Source organism: Homo sapiens, chromosome 1 (genome assembly GCF_000001405.40).
Source record: "Homo sapiens chromosome 1, GRCh38.p14 Primary Assembly".
NCBI classification, from domain to species: Eukaryota; Metazoa; Chordata; class Mammalia; order Primates; family Hominidae; genus Homo; species Homo sapiens.
Window position 1 is genome coordinate 77,031,582 of NC_000001.11, and position 20,968 is coordinate 77,052,549.

At 41.6% G+C, this 20,968-nt stretch overlaps 1 protein-coding gene across 3 annotated transcripts in view, besides 1 other annotated feature; it reads left to right on the plus strand.

Annotated features, from left to right (window-relative positions):
- The window catches only part of ST6GALNAC5 (ST6 N-acetylgalactosaminide alpha-2,6-sialyltransferase 5), a 200,067-nt gene that overhangs the window by 164,102 nt on the left and 14,997 nt on the right, over positions 1-20,968 (plus strand). The window contains exons 3-4 of one of the 3 annotated variants that reach the window (NM_030965.3): positions 12,623-13,032; positions 18,677-18,784. The exons of 1 other annotated variant lie outside the window; for it this stretch is intronic. In NM_030965.3, the coding sequence (NP_112227.1) occupies positions 12,623-13,032; positions 18,677-18,784 (518 nt within the window). The remainder of the gene's footprint in view (positions 1-12,622; positions 13,033-18,676; positions 18,785-20,968) is intronic. One more of the 3 variants, NM_001320273.2, reaches the window with a different exon arrangement.
- Positions 5,080-5,280: a silencer, noted in NCBI's record as "peak297 fragment used in MPRA reporter construct". NCBI's record gives its function as "represses an SCP1 promoter by STARR-seq MPRAs in K562 erythroleukemia cells {active_cell/tissue: K562}" and the evidence as "EXISTENCE:reporter gene assay evidence [ECO:0000049][PMID:32103011]".

Sequence of the window (20,968 nt, forward strand, 5' to 3'; positions counted from 1 at the left end):
CTATTCAGTTGTTTATGAGAAAAATGAGTATTTGCTCCAAATTAAATATTTGATTTGGGATAGTTTTGTCTCTTGCTCTATACTCAAGCATGTAAAAATAGAATGGAAACCCAAACAGAAAACCTGGGAGAGACTATCACTCTGGAATGGTTCTCACACATGCACTAACTAATTTAGTTATTTGTACAGCAAATATATAGTGAGTACCTACTGTGTATTAGGTCCTGGGGATATTGTGGTGACTTAAACCCAACACAAACATGAACCTAGTTCTTCAGAACCTTGCAACTTTGTAGGAAAGAGAGACATTGAATCAGTGATTGTCAATATGATGAGAATTATAAAGGGAGAAACAGGGTGCTTCAGTAGTCTTGGAGTTTAGGGAAGGATCCTTGAGAAAGTGATGCTTTGAATGGGAGATGAAGGAGTTCCAAAAATCATAGACAGCGAAAGGCAGAGAGGGTAAGCTTAAATATTATTATTATCTCAGTTAAGTCACAAAATAACTCTGCGAGGTCAGTATTATTGCTCCGGTTTACAATTGAGGAGACTTGGGTTCCAGGGGAAGCACGTGCAAAGACCTGAGACCAGACTTTATGAATAGTGCCACTTGGAGCTACAAGGTCGAGCAAAGGCAGTGTGGCTGGAGTAGAGAGGAACCATGAGAGGCATGAGATACAGAGGGACTTGCCAAGGAGTTCCTAATTAAAAGTGCATTTTAGAAAGCCACTCTGGCTGGTATGGAGAATGGATTGAGGTGGATGTAGGAGGACTGGCTTAGAGGCATGGCAGTGACTGGGTGAAAAAGATAGTGAGTTGAACCAGGGGTGGAGTCAGGGGAAGCAACCTGCAGGAAGATAGAAATGATTAACGTCAACAGACATACAGGAGGTTGGGTCAGCAGGGTCAGTGAGTGGCTGGATATGAGGGGAGAGGCACTGACAGGTTATTCTACATGGCTCTCTTTATATCTGTAACAATTGAGCCATAATAATACTAATAGCTGCTCCTTACTGAGTGTCTACCATAGTCATTCTATAGATGAGAAAACTGAGACTGAGAGTAGGGAAGTACCTACCAATAGATGACTGAACTGAGATCTGAGCCCCAGCCTGACTCCCAAGCCAGTGCTCTCTCCACTCTAACACTGTATTTATGATTCTGGTCAATTCAATATTTTTCTCATTTGGTTGACTGAAACCTCAGATTTTTCCCCCAATGTAATTCAGCTATATATACGACTCCAAGTTCTCATAATTCTTTTGCATTTGACCATTAATTCTCAGTTATCTTCCAGATTTCGAGCCATGCTATGTTTATCTTCAGGCCATTTCAAACAGCAGAGGCCAGAGAAGCCAGTTTTGTGGAATCGGGCTTGTCGGGCCACATTAAATATCACCTCACTCTAATGAAAATGCAGGTTTTTGTTTGTTCTAATGAGCGCAGGGGGCCTTTATGTCCAATCTCTTCCTAGAGGAAGTAATTGCATACGAGTGACCTTTGAAGGAAATCACATCAGGGAGTTATTTGAAGGCACTGAGGTGAGCCAGTGCGTAACATCAACCAATGTACTAGCATTTCAGAAAAGAAACAAATAGGCCTGTCCCACTGACAACTCATCCATGCCCCCTTTGGACAGAGAAAAATCATCTACTGCTTGCTGAGAAAGTGAGGCACTGAGGCACAGAGATTTCTTTAACTATTTCTTGAACACCTACTGTATGCCATGCACTGTGCAGAATCGCTGCCTCATGGCACTCCTGTTTTAGTGGCAGGGAACAGACAATACAGAAATTTTTAAAAAGTTTAAATCATTAAAGATTTTGATAATTACCATGAAGGAAACAAATTGGATCATGAGAGGTGGTGAACTGTACCTCAACTTCCTCATCTAGTTAAAAAGGAGAGAATGGTGGAACTTGCCTCTTGGGGCTGTCTTCAGGACTAGGTTAGATAACGTATGTATTGGGCTCGGAAGAGGTCCTGGCACATTAGTTGAACACTTAGTCGTGTTATGTGGGGTAACATCGTTGTTATAGAATAAGTGGGGGAGGCAGTCAGGAAGGGCCTCCTGGAGGAGGTGACATTTAAGCTGAGACCTGAGCGATGAGGAGCCAAGCTTATGAACAACTGGGAAAGCAAAGGCTGGAGACCAGAGAAGGAATGCTTACTGTTTCCCAGGAACAGAAAGGAGAGGGAAATCAGCCAGGCCGGAGAATAGAGAGTAGGGTGGGGAGTGAAATGAGTGAGGGCCATGAGGCAGACAAGATTCCAACCAGGTAATTAACTCAGTTTTACTCTATAAGCAGGGGAAGGGAGTGGTGTGAGCTATGCTTTGAAACCCCACTCTGGCAGCTGCGCAGAGAATGACCTGAAAGGTGAAAGCTGCAAGACAAAGGAGGAGAACTGCAAAGTCGAGGCACTGGTGGGAGGGTGTTAGGCAGAGGGTAGCGACCTTGTTGGTGGCAAAGTATTAGTTTCTTAGGGCTACCAGAATAAATTATCACAAATCGGCTGTGTAAAAACCACAGAAATTTACTCTCTCACAGTTCTGGAGGTTAAAAGTATGAAATCAAGGTGTTGGCACAGCGCTTGTTCCCCCTGCAAGCTCTAGGGAATGATACTTCCTTGCATCTTCCAGCTTCTGGTGGTTGCCAGCGAATCCTCCGTGTTCCTCACCTACTAGATGCATCACCCCAATCTCTGCCTCTGTCATCACGTGGTGCTCTCCCTGTGTATCTCTGTGTTTTGTGTCTCTTCTTATAACTTCACCGGTGACTGGATTGAGAGCCTACCCTCATCCAGTATGACCTCACCCTGACTTACATCTCAATTACATCTGCAAAACCTCTGTTTCTAGATAAGATCATATTCACAGGTACCAGAGAGTAGGGCTTCAACATAGCTTTTGAGGGAAGCAGAAAACCCACAACAGCAAGGTGAGTCCTGACTGTCCCACCTCTAAGGGGATGTCCTGGCTTGAAAGTAGCCCCCCATGGCCCAGCTTCTGGGGTAAGCAAAACCGCCAGCCATGCACAAAGGCATTCAGCATCTTTCCTGTAATTGGGGGTTGAAATGCTGTATAGCGATTCCCAGTTGCTTATTCCAAATAAGCAGGCAGGTGGTGCAGAGGAAGGCAGCCTGCAGAGTGAGGGCAGCATGTCAAACAAGGGATGTTCCTTCTTATTTGTCTGTTTCCTTAAAACCACTTACACTTCTAGGTTGCAACTTAAGTGTACTATTATTTAAGGATTCCTTTTCGGTGAGTACCCAGTGACTTTGAACAGTCTATGGATACAGGTGGATTTTCTTGGATTTTTAGAAGTGAGGAGACTTGGGGTTCATCCCAGATGCTACCTTTCGTGTATGGTTTTGAACAAATCCCATAGCCCCCTGAGGTTCCACTTCTTCTGTAAAATGAGGATGCTGGCCCAGCCCAGTGGTTCTTAACCTTGAGGATGAATCAGAAGCACTGGAGGGCTTGGGAAAACACAGATTGCTGGGCCCCATCATGGAGCATCTGATTCAGAAGGTCTAGGGCAGTGCCTGAATATTCACATTTCTGGCAAGTTCCTAGACTTTGTTGTTGCTGCTGGCCTGGGAACCACACTGTGAGAATTGCTGGCCTAGATCATCTCTGAGATTTCTGCAACAATATTATTCCATAAGTCTATGAAGCTCATTTTAATGTAAATGACTAGATGAAGTGAATTTTCTAACCTTAGCTAGCAAAATTTGGATCCCATATAAAAATATGTCCCAGCTACTGCTCACTCTGTTTTTCACTTTGGGTTTACCTCTCTAGACTTAAGGGTGTTGTACAGAGAATAGAAAGAGAGAGGGGCCATTTAAACAACACCCTTAAGTATAGAGAGGTACCCAAATTTTGCTAGCTAAGACTAGAAAATTCACTTCATCTCCTGTGGCTAGTGGGGCCTCCACATACAAGGCTCCCAGAGAAGTCAGCTGAATGTTGGCTTGGAGCCCAATAGAATCACTTAGCTTTGGTGGCACTTATTTAGGGTGGAGGGTGGGGCATAGTAGATGCAATTGAAAGCCTGAGAATAATGGCATAAATAAGCCCATGAAAAGATGTTCATCATTAGTCACTTGGAAAATGCAAATCAAAAGCACAGTGAGGTACTTCTTTTCACCCATTAGAATAATCAAAAGAGACAGTACTAAGTGATGACAAGGATGTAGAGAAATTGGAACTAGTGGGTGGGAATATAAAATGGTGTAGCCACTTTGGAAAGTAGTTTAGCAGTTTTTCAAAATGTTAAACAAAATTGTCATATGACCCAGTAATTCCCCTGCTAGACTTCCATTCAAGAAAAAAAATGAAAACATATGTCCACATAAAAATTTGTATGTGAATGTTTATAATACCATTATTCACAATAACCAAAAAATGGAGACAAATCCAATGTACATCGAATGATGACTGAATAAACAAAATGTGGTATGGACAAAAATAATCAAAGTACTGACACATGCTAGATACATATGTGTATATGTACAAGATGACGCTGAATTTTGATGAACCTCAAAATTACTATGCTAAATGAAAGAAACAAGACACAAAAGACTATATATTTTATTGTTCCATTTATGCGAAATGTCCAGAAAAGGCCAATCTTTAGAGATAAAAAGTAGATTAGTGGTTGCCTAGGGCTGGACATGGAAGGGACAGTGACTATAAATGGACATGAGATTTCTTTTCAGGATGATGGAAATGTTCTAAAATTAGGTCATGCTGATGGTTGCCCAACTCTCTAAATATACAAAAAAATTATTTTTAATTCATGTTTTAAATTGAGGGATTTTATGGTTTGCAAATTAATCTCAATAAAGCTGTTAAAAATAATTTTACAAATAGAATGGAATTAAATAAAAAAACTAATGGGATTTCCTGCACCTCCCTCTGAAGGTCATTTAGTGCTGAAGGTGGTTATGACATATGCAGATTCCAAATACTGGGCTTTAGAAAATATTATCCTAGTTACCCAGTCAGAAAAGATCAGGAACTGCTTACTGGAAGAATGGGGACACTTAAAACACAATAAACACATCTATTTCACACTCCTTATGTGCCAGACACTGTGGTTAAGTGCTTTACATGGCTTATCATTCACTTATTCTTTGCAAAGTATATTTGTTGAACACCTTCTATGTGCTGGGCACTGTCCTTGGTGCTGAAGATACTGTGTGAATAACACAAAGTCCCTCCTTTCGGGGAGCTTAAACGTGTAGATGTACAAATATTATCTTAAGATTATTTTAGGTAGTGATACATGAATTTAAACAAAAACCTGGATGATGAGAGGTAGTTACAGTAGGTGGGAAAGGGAACAGTTTAGATTGAGTGGTCAAGGAAAGCCTCCCTGGGGAGGCGGTCTGAGGTAACACGTGGAAAAGTCATCATGCAGACATGAGGAGAAGAGTGGCTTGGGTGGGAGGAATTGCTAACATAAAGTATATCAGACAGCAAGCAGTAGAGAAATGACAGTGTAAGCAAGGGAGAGTTCTGTACAGGATGATGCTGAAAGGATACACAAGGATAGAAGCTGCAGATCTTGAGAGCCATGACACAGAGCTCAGTTTAAAGTTTGGCTTTTCATGGAATAGTATACAGCCATGAAAAATGAAATCATGTCCTTTGCAACAACAATATGGATACAGCTGGAGGCCATTATCCAAAGTGAATTAGTGCAAGAACAGAAAACCAGATGCCACATGTTCTTACTTATAAGTGGGAACTAAGCATTGGGTGTTCATGGACATACAGATGGCAAAATAGACACTGGAGACTACTAGAGTGGGGAAGGAGTGATGGGGCAAGAGTTGAAAAAACTATTGAGTACTATCCTCACTACATTTGTGATGGGATCATTCATGCCTCAAAACTCAGTATCACACATTATACCCATGTAACAAATCTGCATGTGTACCCCTGCATCTAAAATAAAAGTTAAAATTATAAAAGTAAATATAAAAATAAATATAAAATAAAGTTTGGCTTCTTATTCCAAAAGCAATAAGAAGCAAATAGTAAGATCTAAGCAGGTGAGTGACATAATTTGATTTACATATTAAAGGGGACCCTAGGATCTACATAGGAACAGAAATATAAAAGATAGAATAAAAGAAGTGAACTTAAGAGCTAAGAGTGCTGCAGGAACTACAAGACAATGGGGGCTTAGATGAAGATGGTGGCAGCAGGGATGGTGAGAAGTGGTAGGATCTGGGGCATATGTAGTAGGATAGACCCAACAGGATTGTCTGAGTTGTAAAGGGCAGAGAAAAAGAGGTATCAAGAAAGATCCTTGAATTTGGGCTTGAGCACCTGGGTAGAAGGTGCACCATTACTTGAGATGGCAAAGCTTCCCTTTGAGTTTGGCTTTACTATCTTCGTGTCATAGATGAAAAATGGGGCTCAGAAAAGCTAAGCAACTTTGCTTCAAATTACCTTTCTAATGAGTAGAAGAAGCAGAGTCAAAGTCAGTGACTCAAAAAACTATCTTCTAAACTGCTCAGTACTGCCTTCTGCCCACGGATTTCTTGCATCCTTGGCCAGCCAGTAGATGGAAATCAGATGAGGTGGCATTCACTGGGTGGAGACAGAAAGACTTCTTGGCAGTGAAGGCTGGTGGGTGGGCTTGTCATAGAACAAAAAAGAAAGGAACAGCTTGGAAGAGTAACACTTTTCTAGTGAATCACATTAAATAATCAGCATGGCTTATACCCAGTGTCAGCCTGAACTGAGATTGACAGCTAATAAAAAGCACAGTAATTACAGGAAAACATCAGATTGGAAAGTACAGAGATTCTTGAAACACCTGAAGCCATTTAATATGTCTTATGTTTGCTCCAGACTAACAGGCAGCTCCCAGAGCAAGACCGGTCTCATTACTGAGCTAATGGACATTATGCTCTGAGGTACTTTTCCCTCTGCCAAATATATCAGAATTTTAAAAACGGAAGCCTGATATTGCCATGCTGCAAATGTTTACAAGGACATCGCTGAGTGTTTTAGGTGTCAAGTTTAATTTCAGTTGGCCTGGCCTATTCTCTTAAGGAAGGCTCCAGAGCAGTCAGCCAGGTCACAGGGAGAATTCCTTCTGCTCTTGCTCTTCAGGCTGTGACAGAAATCAGACCTTGATTCCCTGAGCACGCTTCCCAAGAAGGGATTGCTCCTGTCACCACAGCCCAAAGGAGTTAGTTGTGATGAAAGTTGTCATGCTTCGCTATTCCATTATTTTAGGTATGTTTGGGGGTTTTGTTGGTGATGGTGCTGGTTTTTGTTGTTGTTGCTGGGGGTGGGCAGGGGTGATGGAAGGAGAAACTCATTCACACATTCTAAAATATTCATGAGTCCTCCTCTAAATTGCAGATAGTATCTTAGATTCTGGGATGATGGCAAATACTTAAAATTACCAAAGCACAAAAGAGACAGCAAAAATAAAATGGTAAGATCTGAGTGTGCATTCACATGTGTGTGTGTATCTGCACACTCCCTCTAGAGACCCCACCCACCTGCCTCCCACTGGCTCCTGTACAGCATGCTGGCTTCTGGGGGCCTGGGCTGTAGCTCTGAGCATCAGCAGCCTGGAGAACAGTCACTCTTCCATGTGCTGTGCATTTTCCTGGGCATTTTTCACCTCACAACAGCTCTAATGACCTTGGCATCAAGCTCTTACTGGGGATTAATAACTGGCTGGGCTTAATGGTCCTTACTGTGTCCCGGGCCATTTTCCCAGCCAGCCATTAATTCCAGGCAGTGCCCTGGACTCTGGTCATTATGGTTCCCTGGGCTGAGAGGCTGCCCAGTGGCAAATGGCCACAGCCTCCTCTGCAGACAGAGGTTTCCACAGCCTACCACCCTTTCTCTTTGTGGCATCTTTAGCAAGGCCTGGGGTTTACAGCCAAATAATTGGTTATGGCATCACATTATGTCTACTTTGTATGTGGCAGCAGGTAGGTTTCTCAGAGGATAGATAAGGCAGGGGGTTGGGTTTCATTCACTCATTTATTCATCCATCTATTCAGTATTAATTAAATGATTTTTCTTATGAGTCAGGATGGAAGAGAGACTACTAATCTAGGAGTGAACTAAGATAGATGCCTATGTTTCCTAAGAAGGAACAGAGTGTCTCACCAAATGAGGCTTTACGGAAAATGTTCCAAAGAATCGGGGAGGCTGAACACTATGAGGAAAAAGTCAGAGAGAAGGCCTTGCTCAGCGGAGAGCCCGCTGGAGCCACCTCCCCTCTTGTGTCTTCGGCAGTACATCATCTCCCAGGCCGACGGGCAGAGATTCAAGTTCACCTCCCTGTGTTCCACTTAGTGATTCATCAACCCAGCATCTGAATGCTTAAGGGAAGAACATGTAAATATTGCATCAGGAATCTTGACTCACCAAGGCATGAATATTTCCACCCATATCATTAAGACACTAAAGGTTATAATGGTACTGAGAGTGTGGGAGCATGCTTCTCTCAGAGGACTGTACCAAATCATGAGGAACAGGGTCGCACAATTTGTACAATTTTTTGCCATTCTGCCTCCTAAGATATCATCAGTCCCCCTGAATACAAGAAACAGACTTCATTTTGTCCTTTGGAAGTGGGTCAGCCTTTAGTACATGCTCTTCTCAGCTGCTGGAATTGTAACATTATGTTTAGAACAGCTATTGTCATTTTATTGGCACGCCTTACCAAAAGCACCTAAGGCATACTTCAGACTTCGATCTTTTTTGCATTGTTTGATGCATCTGCACAACTCAAAGAACGAGTGTTAGTGTCTGACATAATCAATACCAGAGCTCAGATTTCTCAGGTAGCAGAAATCAAGAGGGTGGCTTTTGGGGACTGGGTCAACCTGGCATGTTCTAGTGGTGCCCACTAATCACAGAGGGTCAGTATGGCAAGGTCAGGAAACTTGGCCTTCTCGGAAAGAGTGTTCAGCTGGCCTGCTCTGGGCAAAGAGAAAAGAGAGAGCGCCAGGTCCTTGGAAGGCCCCTAAGGCGATGTGTTTCACCTGCCAACCAGTCTCTGTTCTGAGAATCAAAGCAGAATAATTAATTAAGGGGAAAGAGATGCTACTGGGACCTTTCTTCAGAATGTTTTCCCTAGTAATAATGACTACAGTAAAATTACAGATCCAACCGGAAAATTCAGGATAATTCTAGGTGAGCGTGATGAGAAAAAGCAGCTTCCCATGGCCTTAGGGTCCACTGGGATGAACTTACAAAGTAACCTTATTAAGCAAATGTGCTGAGTTACACAGAACCTCAGGGGTGTATTAAGTCCTCAGTGAAGGTCTTTAGAATGAATGAACAAATCAATGTTGTCTGGCCACAAGTATTTAGTGTCAAAGTCAGTCCTGCCATGCTCCACCATCAACCCTCTGTCAACTCTTTGCAGTCAGCTGTGGTCTCTACTTCCTCAATCCGACCACGATCACACTCTTGTCACTTCTGTTCAGCTGAGACTATTTTGGCCGAAGTCATCAAATCCAAAGCACATTTCCCAAGTCTTGTTTTACTTGTCCTATGACACTGTTGACTACTTGCTCCTTTTTAAAATTGTCTCTTCTGCTGGTTTCCATTACATAATCCTTTCCTGGTTGTTCTCTCACCTCTCTGGCTCTTCTGGATAGGCTTAAATGTTCCCTCATCTTTGGTCCCATGGTCCCTTGTGCCTAATTGCATTATAGCACTTACAGCACAGTTCTGTCATGGTTTGTCTGGGGGCACCCTCAATGTGGACTGTATGCTCTTTTATTGTGTTATTAAGGTTGGCGCAAAAGTAATTGTGGTTTTGGCCATTACTTTTAATGGCAATTAGTTTTGCGCTAACATAATATCTGTAGCACCAGGTTCAGTGCCTGGTACGTAATAGGAATTTCACCATTGAATAAATTATCATGGAACTCTTCCCTCTTCATCATTTATGTATGGGATGTGCAAGTAAAATAAGGGAAAGGAAAGTTAAGCATTTCCTCCATTTTTTGGCCACTGAAATTGCCTCTCATCCCAACAGTTCGCCCAGGGATTCAGGACTCCTTACTCCAGATTTCAGTAGTTTTCTGAGGGGAATAGGGGCCACTTTCTGGACATCTGGAATGTGGCACTTCCTAAAGAAGGTTTGGTCTCAACCACATTTCAGCATCATGTACTTAATGTTCTAGTTAGATGAATCTATTTCAAATGATCCTCCAAGGAATGGAGGTCTTTGGTAGAAGATTCTTGTCACTTTACTGCATCCACTGAGCCCAGTGCCCTCAGAGTGGTAACAACACTACTGATTAAAAAATAGCATCACTGAATTTCTAAGAGGCAGGAAAGAGGCAATGAGGTAAGAAAACATCCCATAACACTGATTCTGCTTATTCTACTGCACTGTGTTGGCATCATGGTGAATCCCTTTGTCTCTGCAGTCAGGTTTCTTGGGTTCAAATTTCAACACTGCCACCGCCTTACAGTGTGATCTTGAGCAAACTGCTTCATTTTTCTACCCTTCAATATTCTCATTTGTAAAATGGGAGTGATAATATACTATCTTAGAGTATTATTTGAAGGATTAATGGAATTATATTTATAAAAAATCAGAACAGTGCCTAACACAGTTGTGGCTGAAAAGCACTCAGTAAATATTAACTGACTGGCCAGTTTTCCTTTGTGCCCCCAGCTTTGCTGTGCTCTCCACAGCCCCTTACTCCGACTTCAGCAGAGCCTCCTCTCCTTATACTGTATCACACTGTATTGTCCTCCTTTACTGACCACTGTCCCTCACTAAAGTGTAAGCTTTCAAGGCTATTTGCCCCATTTTTGCATTCTGACTGCCTAGCACAGTGCCTGTCATGTAAGAGTAATTAGATGTTGGGGGAATTATGAGAATTTGCAATGGTAGAACCTCCATTTCATAAGCCCTGCATCAATTATAAACCCTAAGTGTTCACTGCTGATATCGTGAGTACTTATTGTACAATTACTTTATGGACCCCTGCATTCTCTTCTAAATGGGTGATAGGAACCCTGGACAAGAGCAAAAGGCTCCGCACTGACCAATAATCCTAATAGCACCTAACATTTAGTGAATGATCACTATGACAATCCTATGCTAAAGGTTCAACCGTATGCAGTTGCTATTTTTGCAGGCCAAATATTGGCAGTTTCAAAGGGCTCAATCGAATACGGTATCTATCTTAATTTTTTTTTATTCTACCATAGTAGAATGAGGTTTTAACCTCAGTTAGAGATGAGAAAACTGAGACTTGTGGAGGTTAGTGTCTTACCAAGGTCCCACAGCTAGTAGGTGGTGGAAGCAAGGCTGGGCCCATCCTGCTACATCCCAGAGCTGATGCTTTGAGGCACCACAAGGCAAGGGAAGTTGGCTGCCCTCGGGTGCTCTCAGTGTAGTTCTGAAGACACAGCCATGTCTCAGGAAACTCCCAAAATAAACACAAAACTGAATATATGCACTACTAAGTTGGATTCAATTTCCTGAGACAGTACAGGAAGCCAGCGTGTCCTGTTCAAAGTTAACAGAGAAGAAGCGCATAGACTCTGGAAAAAATCTAACAATGCAACATCCCTTCAGAACATCTTGTTATTTTCTTGTACATTTGCTGGCCTTGGCCTCGGGCCGTAATTACATTATCTTCAAACAGCAACTAGAAATATTGCTCATTAAACATGAACACGGGAATGTTTAATTTGTTAGGACGTAGGTGTTTTGAAAGCAAATCATTGGTTCAGGGCATTGAACTGAGTGCTGCCATTGGAGTTGTCTTTGGTGAACACCATGTCCTGGCCAGAACTTTGCCATGATGCGTGTTCACTGCAGATGAGAGAAGGACCTAGGCCCTGCAATTCCTAGCTGGGGTCTGTGGCTCTGAGCTTGACGCTTTCTTTATGTTTATGAAAATGGGACAACTCAGTTTCTCTCCCTCATCCGTTAAAATAGAAGAAGCAATCCTAATGTCACTTCAAAATTATGGCCTCTAAGGGGTTACAATCAGCATGTCATTTCCCATATGATGCTTAGATGATGTGTATTTGGTACAAACATATTTGTACAGCATCCAAGAATTTTAATCAAGGTTTAACTTTCAATAAGGTGAGTTAAGAGCATCACAACTAGTGTCACAGCAATTTGCAGGATAGTCTTTGCTTCAACTTGGGAGTAACTTTGGACTCAAAAATACCTAGTTTTGAAAGCCGGAAGCACAACTTTATTACTGGCTAGGAATAAAGGGCAACTTTGGACAAATTTGTTAACATCTCTATGCTTAAGTATCTTCATCTGTAAAATGACCACGAGAGAAACCTTGCTGGGTTGATGTGTCGATTTGGTTATTTAATATCAGTAAAGCCCTTAGTTCAGTGTTTGACAGGTCAGTGCTAGCTCCCTTTTGCTCTTGTCCATTGTTCCCTGTCACCCATTTAGAAGAGAACGCAAGGGTCCATAAAGTAATAGCAGAAGGGATATACTCTGACATGATGGGGAGGAGAGAAGAGATGGGTGCCCTTCTTCAAAGGCAGGGAAGTAGCCTGCTGGTGCTGAGTGAGGGTTAAGCCCTTTGCCCCTGACAGTGTCCTTCTCCCCCTGCCTTCCAGCCCCTGAAAATGCACTGCAGGGACTGTGCCCTGGTGACCAGCTCAGGGCATCTGCTGCACAGTCGGCAAGGCTCCCAGATTGACCAGACAGAGTGTGTCATCCGCATGAATGACGCCCCCACACGCGGCTATGGGCGTGACGTGGGCAATCGCACCAGCCTGAGGGTCATCGCGCATTCCAGCATCCAGAGGATCCTCCGCAACCGCCATGACCTGCTCAACGTGAGCCAGGGCACCGTGTTCATCTTCTGGGGCCCCAGCAGCTACATGCGGCGGGACGGCAAGGGCCAGGTCTACAACAACCTGCATCTCCTGAGCCAGGTGCTGCCCCGGCTGAAGGCCTTCATGATTACTCGCCACAAGATGCTGCAGTTTGATGAGCTCTTCAAGCAGGAGACTGGCAAAGACAGGTACAAAGGCACAGGGAAGAAGATGCAGGGGAGGGTGAGGATAAGTCATCACTGGCTGACTCACCCAAAGCAAAGCTTTTGCTACAGGCTTTTGTTGTGGGCTCCACTGCTCATGTCATTGCTAGAGTTCACTTGTAGGGTCCTCTGCGTGACTGGGCTGCTCAAGCTGACTTTACAAGACAAAGTGAAAAGAAGCATGGAGATAATTATATGGATATTTCAGGGCCTTATTTTTGAGGAAGAGGCTACACAGCTCCTGGCCTTCATTGGTTAAAAGTGCAGTATAACAGCTTTATTGCATTTCATTTTACTTGCATAAACCCTCACCAAAAAAAAAGTATATGGGTTTATTTTTTCCCATTCAAAGGCAAACATTTATTTAGTCAACCAATATTTCTTGAGTGCCCACTACTTGCTCATCACTGTGCTTGGCCCTGGGGAAACAGTCAAACACAAGTATATAAAGCCTTGGACACTTACCAAGTAGTAGCCAGTGCACTGAGGGTCTTGAGAGGGAAGAAAATGGTGCTGTAGATGTGCCATGGGCCCTAGCCCATGGAAACCCAAACTGTTAGCTACAACTCCATATTAAGACACGAAATCAATGTAGTGAGGCACTGAAAGATTTTTTTTCTAAAGTAATGGGAAGAATGGGATAAAATGGAACAGAGTAGAATAGAAAAGACATTATCAGCATTCATCCCACATAGTAAGTTAGGTAAGGTATTGTTTCATGAAACTTTTATTTCAGTTTGATAGAGATGGAGATAGATGGATAGGGATTTCTTCTCAAAGTGATGAAAATGTTCTGAAATTAGTGGTGATGGTTGCACAATCCTGTGAATGTAAAATAAATATCACTGAATTACACACTTTAGAAAATGAAATTAAAACTGTGTCTGTGTGTCTCAATCATGATGTAAAAATGTATTTTTCACTATAGGTTGAAAGATTTGGAAATTACTGGTCTGGGAGATAAGGAAAATGCTTTCTCAAAAAGATGTACATAAGCTGAGACCCAGGGCAATAAGTCTTGGATAAAGTAAAGGACCTGGGGAGTGGGAGGGAGAAACCTCCCTGGAGGTCCAGGGAATCAGGTGTGAGAGAACATGCAGTGGGTTGGAGAAAAGCCCCCTGTGGCTGCAGTCAGGAGAACTAGGGGGTGGGGGTGACACAAGGTGAAGAAGAGAGGTGAAAAGATGTCAGCTGGACAAATCTAGGTGAAGAAAGGACAATGAAGAATCAAGGGCCACTAGAGAGTACAGCTCTGGGTTGGAACTCTGGCTCTGTCACTCTCTAGTTGTGAGGGCCTGGACAAGTTATCTAACCTTTTAGAGACTCAGTGACCTTACGTGTGAAAAGGGAATAGTGACTACTAATCGCTGGATGGACTGGTCTAATAATCAAATTGCCTCATTTCCTTAATTCTAAAACCTGTACTTTCATACGTTTGTGATGTAATTTACCCCTCTTACAAAAACTGTTACTGAGTCAATTGCTTATCTTTAAACTAAAGGAGAGTCAGACTTAGTGGTGCATGCCTATAATCCCAGCTACTTGAAAGGCTGAGGCAAGAGGATGGCTTGAGCCCAGGAGTTCAAATCCAGTGTGAGCAACATAGCAAGACCCCATCTCATAAAAATTGTTTTAAATAAAGTGATATGATAAATGCAATAAAGAATATAAAGTAATAAATCCATTCTTTGGCTAGCAGCTCATTATTAGAGAATAGTCTCAAAGAAAGACTTAAGTACAGTGCCCCCAAATTCTTTGTGTGGAAGAGCTAGATAGCTTTTAAATCCTAGAAACCTTGTGACTAGTCAAGGACTGCACCAGGCAGGAGGCATGGGTCTGGTGGAGGAAGGAGAAAGAGCTGGCTGTTGGCACTGTGGCCTTCCTCACTGGAAGGCCCAGCAGACCCCATGGGCAGCCCAGCCAGCAGATCACATTGGGGATTCTGATCATCATCTCCAGCTGCCACAAAATCCAGTCATGCATTGACCTTTGCAACTCACAGATAAGAGAGACTGTCACTCAGTTGAATGAGTTATTTAATCAAGAAAACATTTTATAAGGAATCAAGAAGGAGGGGAATTATTTAGTTTCATTTTTTACTTGTTGGAAAATTTGAAATAAGTAGAAACCATCTCAATAGAAAACACTTTTCTCTTTTTTAGTTTAATGGTTGATTGCTAAATAAGTATTCCTAAAACACTGCCGCAATGTTAGCTATTTAGTATAATTAAACATTGTTCTGGACTCCTTGAGAAATCATTTTAAGCTGATAAGTTAGATACTAAGTCATCATACCCTTTGGCCACTCAGGATCTTTAGGAACCCTTCTCACAGCAAGGCATATCCTGCTCACTAAATTCACTAAATACTGGCCAATGAGAAGCTTTTTCTCACCAGGTCTTTCTTCCTGGTCGTCCTGGCTGGTACGGAGGGAGCCAAAGCTTTGTGGAGTGGCTGGTGGGACTCTTTCCACAGACATCCATCTGCCAGGGTCCACGTAGTCCCTACTCAGGGGAATCACACTTATGAATGTGGAGGATGCCAGAGTACACTGCTGCTTCCAGAAACTTTGTGCCTCTTGCCTTCGGGAAACAGTCTTAAAGAAGCCAATACTCTATTGACTTAATATTCTTTACCTGTAGCCTGCTCCAAGCTAAAAGAAACAAGTCAGAAATGGCCATTCAGGACAAAACTATTTCTGTAAATTAAAACCTAAAACATTTAGGGTGTAATGGTATTTCTCAATGTATGCTTTTCTTCAAACCCAACAAAACAGTAGCATATGATACATAAAGTACAGAATATCTAACTTGCAGATCTCATGATCAGGACTTTCCTTTTGGGTGAATATTTTGAAGAAATAGGGTCATTTAATAGATTGTGATTGATAGAAGTTTCACCCTCCTTAAAAGTGGAGAAAAAAGTGGCTCAGGAACAATCTGCAATTAAGAAGCATGACAAATGACTTAGATGGCCAAGTGGTATTCTTTGATATTAAAAAGTAACTGTACTTGAAAATAACTTTATAATTGAATAAGGGTACATTAGGAAAATATGATTCAGAACCAATATTATAGTAATTAGATAAAGGAAGCGTAAATGAAATAACTGCAGGAAGAATATTTCCATAGAGATTATAAATGAGATTCTGGTGGAGCAGAAAGGCCCTTAATTGTAATTTAGTATGCACTATAGAATTATCAGCTCAGTGTGTTACTTCATCATATAAAAGAATATCTGATAATTTTCCCTAAAAAGCACATGACAGCTCTTCATATTCTTTCATTACAGCTGATTAAGTGTAAAAACAGTAGATATTCCTTTGTTAGAAAAAGAGTTCAACAAAGAGTTTTAGAAAGACAGCACAAAGTGTTGCATTTCTATAGCACGTGACCCCAGAAGGCTGTTATTTAGGAAGTCTGGGGAATTTTAAGTGTTACTTTAAAGAACTCTTCACTTTAGTTTCTTTCGTCCTCTACCTTGCATTCTTTTCCCCATTTTACCCACAAAGCCTTTTCCTGTGCAGCCACATCCTCCTGTATTCAGGCTGTGGTTTACAATCTCTACTACATCACATAAAACAGAACCAGAGTTATGGGAGAGTTTCTGCCCTTGGAGAAAGCCCCCTTTGGTGTGTCCAATAGCTCTAAAAGCAGAGGGAATATAAGTGTGATTCCCAGATTAGGCTCCTGAAGCTGTAAGTGAGCTGTCATCCTCTTCCTGGGTTCCACATCCTCCCAGTTATTCACTCACCCAGATTAGGTCTAGAACACATGGCCAGTGCATTGTCGCAGCCCATAGGTGAAAACAGCTTCTAACTTAAGGGAAGCCACTTCCTCTTCTTACCCTTTGCCATTCAGTCAGCTCTTCTCCATTCCAGCTCCTTCAGTCTCAAAGGTCTTATGAATATATAGCCTTAGTGAGAAAGAAGGAAAATCATTAATACCTATGTAGGCTGAAGGCTTCTGAATTTCATAATTCCTGCCCTGACTACTGATGGCAGTCCCTACACAGCCCCCAGTAGCAGAATGTTGGAAGAATTTTCTTCATGGTTGCTAAAAAGCACCAAAAAGAATGGTGAAATTATTTACCTTGATTGCTCAACCTAGAAACTAAAAGAGGAGGAAGAGATGTCAACGTACCAACATACCAAACTTGGTGCTTTTCATACATGCTTGCTTATTTAGCTCTCAAGTAGCCCAGGGGACAGAGATTCCTATGCCTCCTTTATAGATAAGAAATGAAGGGCCAAAGATCAACAATAACTTGCCTCAGGTCATCCAGCTGGTTATGATAGAAACAGGTAAGATTCAGCCCACTTATTCCCATCTTTAGGAGCTTTTAAATATGCTTTCTGGGATGTTACTAGGTCAAAATACAATGGAATAGGGGAATGAATGAGCAAAGGGCTTAAGAAATAGAAAGTTGAAGCCATGATCCCCAGGAATAACTAAGCCACCCATGCTGTCAGGTATTGGACAAAATGAAGGACTCCTTAAAAATGTCCTCTCTCTATTTTTTTTTCTTTTTTGGTCCTTATATGAAATGAAAATAATGATGCAAACTGATAGACAGAAGGTTTTCCTTCTTCTCAAGGATGGGTGCCACACAGTGCAAGTAGAAAAGCCTTCCTGCACCTCTGTTATTCACATCACAAATGATGCTATGGCTGGGCAAAGTCAGACAGTCTGACCTTGGGGATAAGGTGTTTGAAACTGGCTAATGAGGCATGCCGTAAGTACTGAAGGAAAAGTAAAAGCAGCAACCCCCGAAGAATTGAAATTAATATCCACAGTAGTGTAGCATGGTAGGCTGAGTCATTCTCACAGGATCAAATTAGACCTTGGTGTTATGTCTCCACAGTTATCCTAAGGTGTAGCATATGGTAGAAGCTCATTACAGATGTCTGAATGGGAAAATTAATGAATGGTGGGGTGCACCAGTTCATTCCTTAAATTTTGTCAATTTTTGGTCTCCTAGTAAAAATTTTCTGATATGTAAAATGAAGCAAATGTTCAGTTAAATATAAGCATTCCTGTGGCTCTTTTCCTCTGGTCATTAGCCCATACCCAAATGAGTGTACCCTTCTTACGGAAAGATATTCAATCAAGATGTTGGTGTTAGTCTACTTGAAGGCAAGCTTTCACCCTAAGTTCAGTCAATCAACCAATTGACTAATAGATAGATAAATACATGTGAATGTTTATTTATATTTAATAAGCTACTCATTATCTAGCCTGTTTGGGGAACAAGGAGAATTTCTAGTTACTCAAGTGTTCTCGTTAAGAAAGAGTTGTTAAACGGGGGCTGTCATAAGAAATTGAGTTGTGGTAACATACACTTAAACATTTAAACACTGATCATCATCTTTGATGATGCAGAAGTCCCTTGAGCATCTTTCATTGTCACAAATTCAGCATGAGCATTAACATCAATTATGATTGTACTGTGGAATATGGTAATGTTAGTAAGAGATGTCAATTTGATAAAGTTCCAGATATTTACCAAATGGAGGAGAGAGGGAGAGACTCTTGTTTATAGTTAGCCTTACTCTAGGAAAGAATTAAAGATGGTAGTGGGTATAATGGTTACTTTACCAGCTTGCAGACTTAATTATTGTTCCTTCCAGGAAGATATCCAACACTTGGCTCAGCACTGGCTGGTTTACAATGACAATTGCACTGGAGCTCTGTGACAGGATCAATGTTTATGGCATGGTGCCCCCAGACTTCTGCAGGTAGGATTTATTCTGCAAGTGTAAATCATCAGCCGTGTTGTGCAGGATTTATAAATATCTGATTCTGAATATCAACCATGAAACATGTCTAACTGTCTTCTTGAAGCAATTAATTAGCATGTCCCAAGTTCTCATTCTAGAAACAACAAACAGCATTTAATTATGTTATATAAAATATTGAAAGTTTTTGTTTGTACTGCTGGAGAATAAATCCATCTTGTGGGCTCCATTTATCCTCTGAATATTTATCAGCCAGAAGTAATGCAATAATTGGCATAATATTAACGATGAACAAGCATTAAGAAATATTAGTTTTACTCTCATTTCAAAGGAATGTGATAATTTTTTAATGAATTAAAGAGAGCAATTCCTTTGACAGTGAGGGCTTTTTTCTAAAATTAAAATATTTCTCTGAGCCTCCTTCCCTTGCCACATCAGTGGCCTGGGCTTGCACTTCTAAGGCCAAAAGCACAGGCATAAATATTTTGAGGTGTCACTTTAAAGAGAACATGCATACATCTCTGTTGCCACCTTAACTTTCCTCCTGGCATGTGCCCAGGCAGAGTTCAGGGCATACCACAAATGCACTCAGCAATATTCAGGGCCTGATTTTTGGAAGCCTGCTTGAAAACTCGCCTGTAATTTAAAATAGTGAGACCAGAAATTCCAGAAAGTACCCTAGTTTTTGGGAACGCCTGATGGCCTGCACATGGACTCAATCCTGATTTTCAAATGGCAAAAGCTGGGGTGGGGGGCATTTAAAACTTGCTTTTTAAATTGTGTGCTTACTTATACTATCTGGTGTTTTATTTGTTTATTTTTTCTAACAATGTCTCGAAGGCCATGAGTCTTTAGGCAAAAGCTGCAATTTGGAGGTTTAAAGCAAAGATGAGAAACAGCATCTAATCATCCCATTAACATTTTACCACTTTTCTCTCTTTTTAACCCAAAGATCCAACACAGCAACAATACTAATTGATATGGAAGAGTCAGGCCGCAAAGGAGGAGAGAGAGGTACAGATAGAGCAGACCTTTGATGTAAGGTCAGGGTCAAAAATGCTGGGGCTAGGCTGCACAGGTGTAAAGCCTGGCCTGGTCACTTACCCACCTAGTATGACCTTGAAGAAGTCACTTAGTGTCTCTAGGTCTCAGCTTCCTCATCCATAGACGTGGATGTGATAGTAATAGACTCTGCCTCAAAGGGCTGTAGGCAGAGTAAATAAGCTAATACATGTGAAATGCTTGGAACAGTGCCTAGTAAGTACATGGCAAGCACAAGGCAAGTTAGCTTGGATCCTCACCCAGTGCTGCCTCACTTAATTCACTGGCCCTGTGTCCCTGTTTAACAATCTATACACAAAAAGTAAGTAGAATGGCCTAAAAAGGCAAACTGCCTCCTCAAACCAACAGGCTAACAGAGACAGTGAGAATGGCACTTATGGGCATGCAAAGAGCCATCAACGTTGATGGGTATACAGCAGATATAATTATGCAATATTGCCATTAGGATGCCAGAAAGAAAAAGCATGAATAAATTGAAATGTTAATGACTTCAAGTGTTCAAGGAAATATTCCATTTATTATGGAAAACAAATGAAAGGCAAGTTAACCTGTCATTTCTCCTACTCAGAGTTAGTTCATCATGACTTCATGTACGGTAGGATCGAAACAATTTATGGAAAATACTAACAAAGAAATTAAGATAATGTCAATGCATTACATATTGCCACTGGCTCTGAGTTTCTCTTCCTAAGCTATCATCCCCAAAGCTTTGATAGTTGTTTGCACAAGACAGTTTCAGCAAGAACTCTTCAAAAGGACCCCTACGCCCAAGTTCTGTCAGAGAAGTGAAGAGTGTCATCTGGAGGAAAGGTTCAGTGCTGGAGAGAGCATTCTGCTCAGTCATAAAGCCTGTTAAAGGAAGGTTAAGAAGGAAGACCAGGAGTAGCACAGATGGATTCTACAGTTCTATTCATCTGCATTTCCAGGACATGTTGACTGGACCACCAGGCATCCAGTTTCGACTTGTTGGGTCTTGAGGCTTGTTTTCCTTGTTTGTAAAATGGGGATAAGAAAATAAGAAGACGAACAAGCAGGTCATGGTGAGAATTAAATGAGATAATAGATGTAGAGTGTTGGATGCAGTTCCTAGCACACAGTATTCAGGAAAGAGTATCAATATCA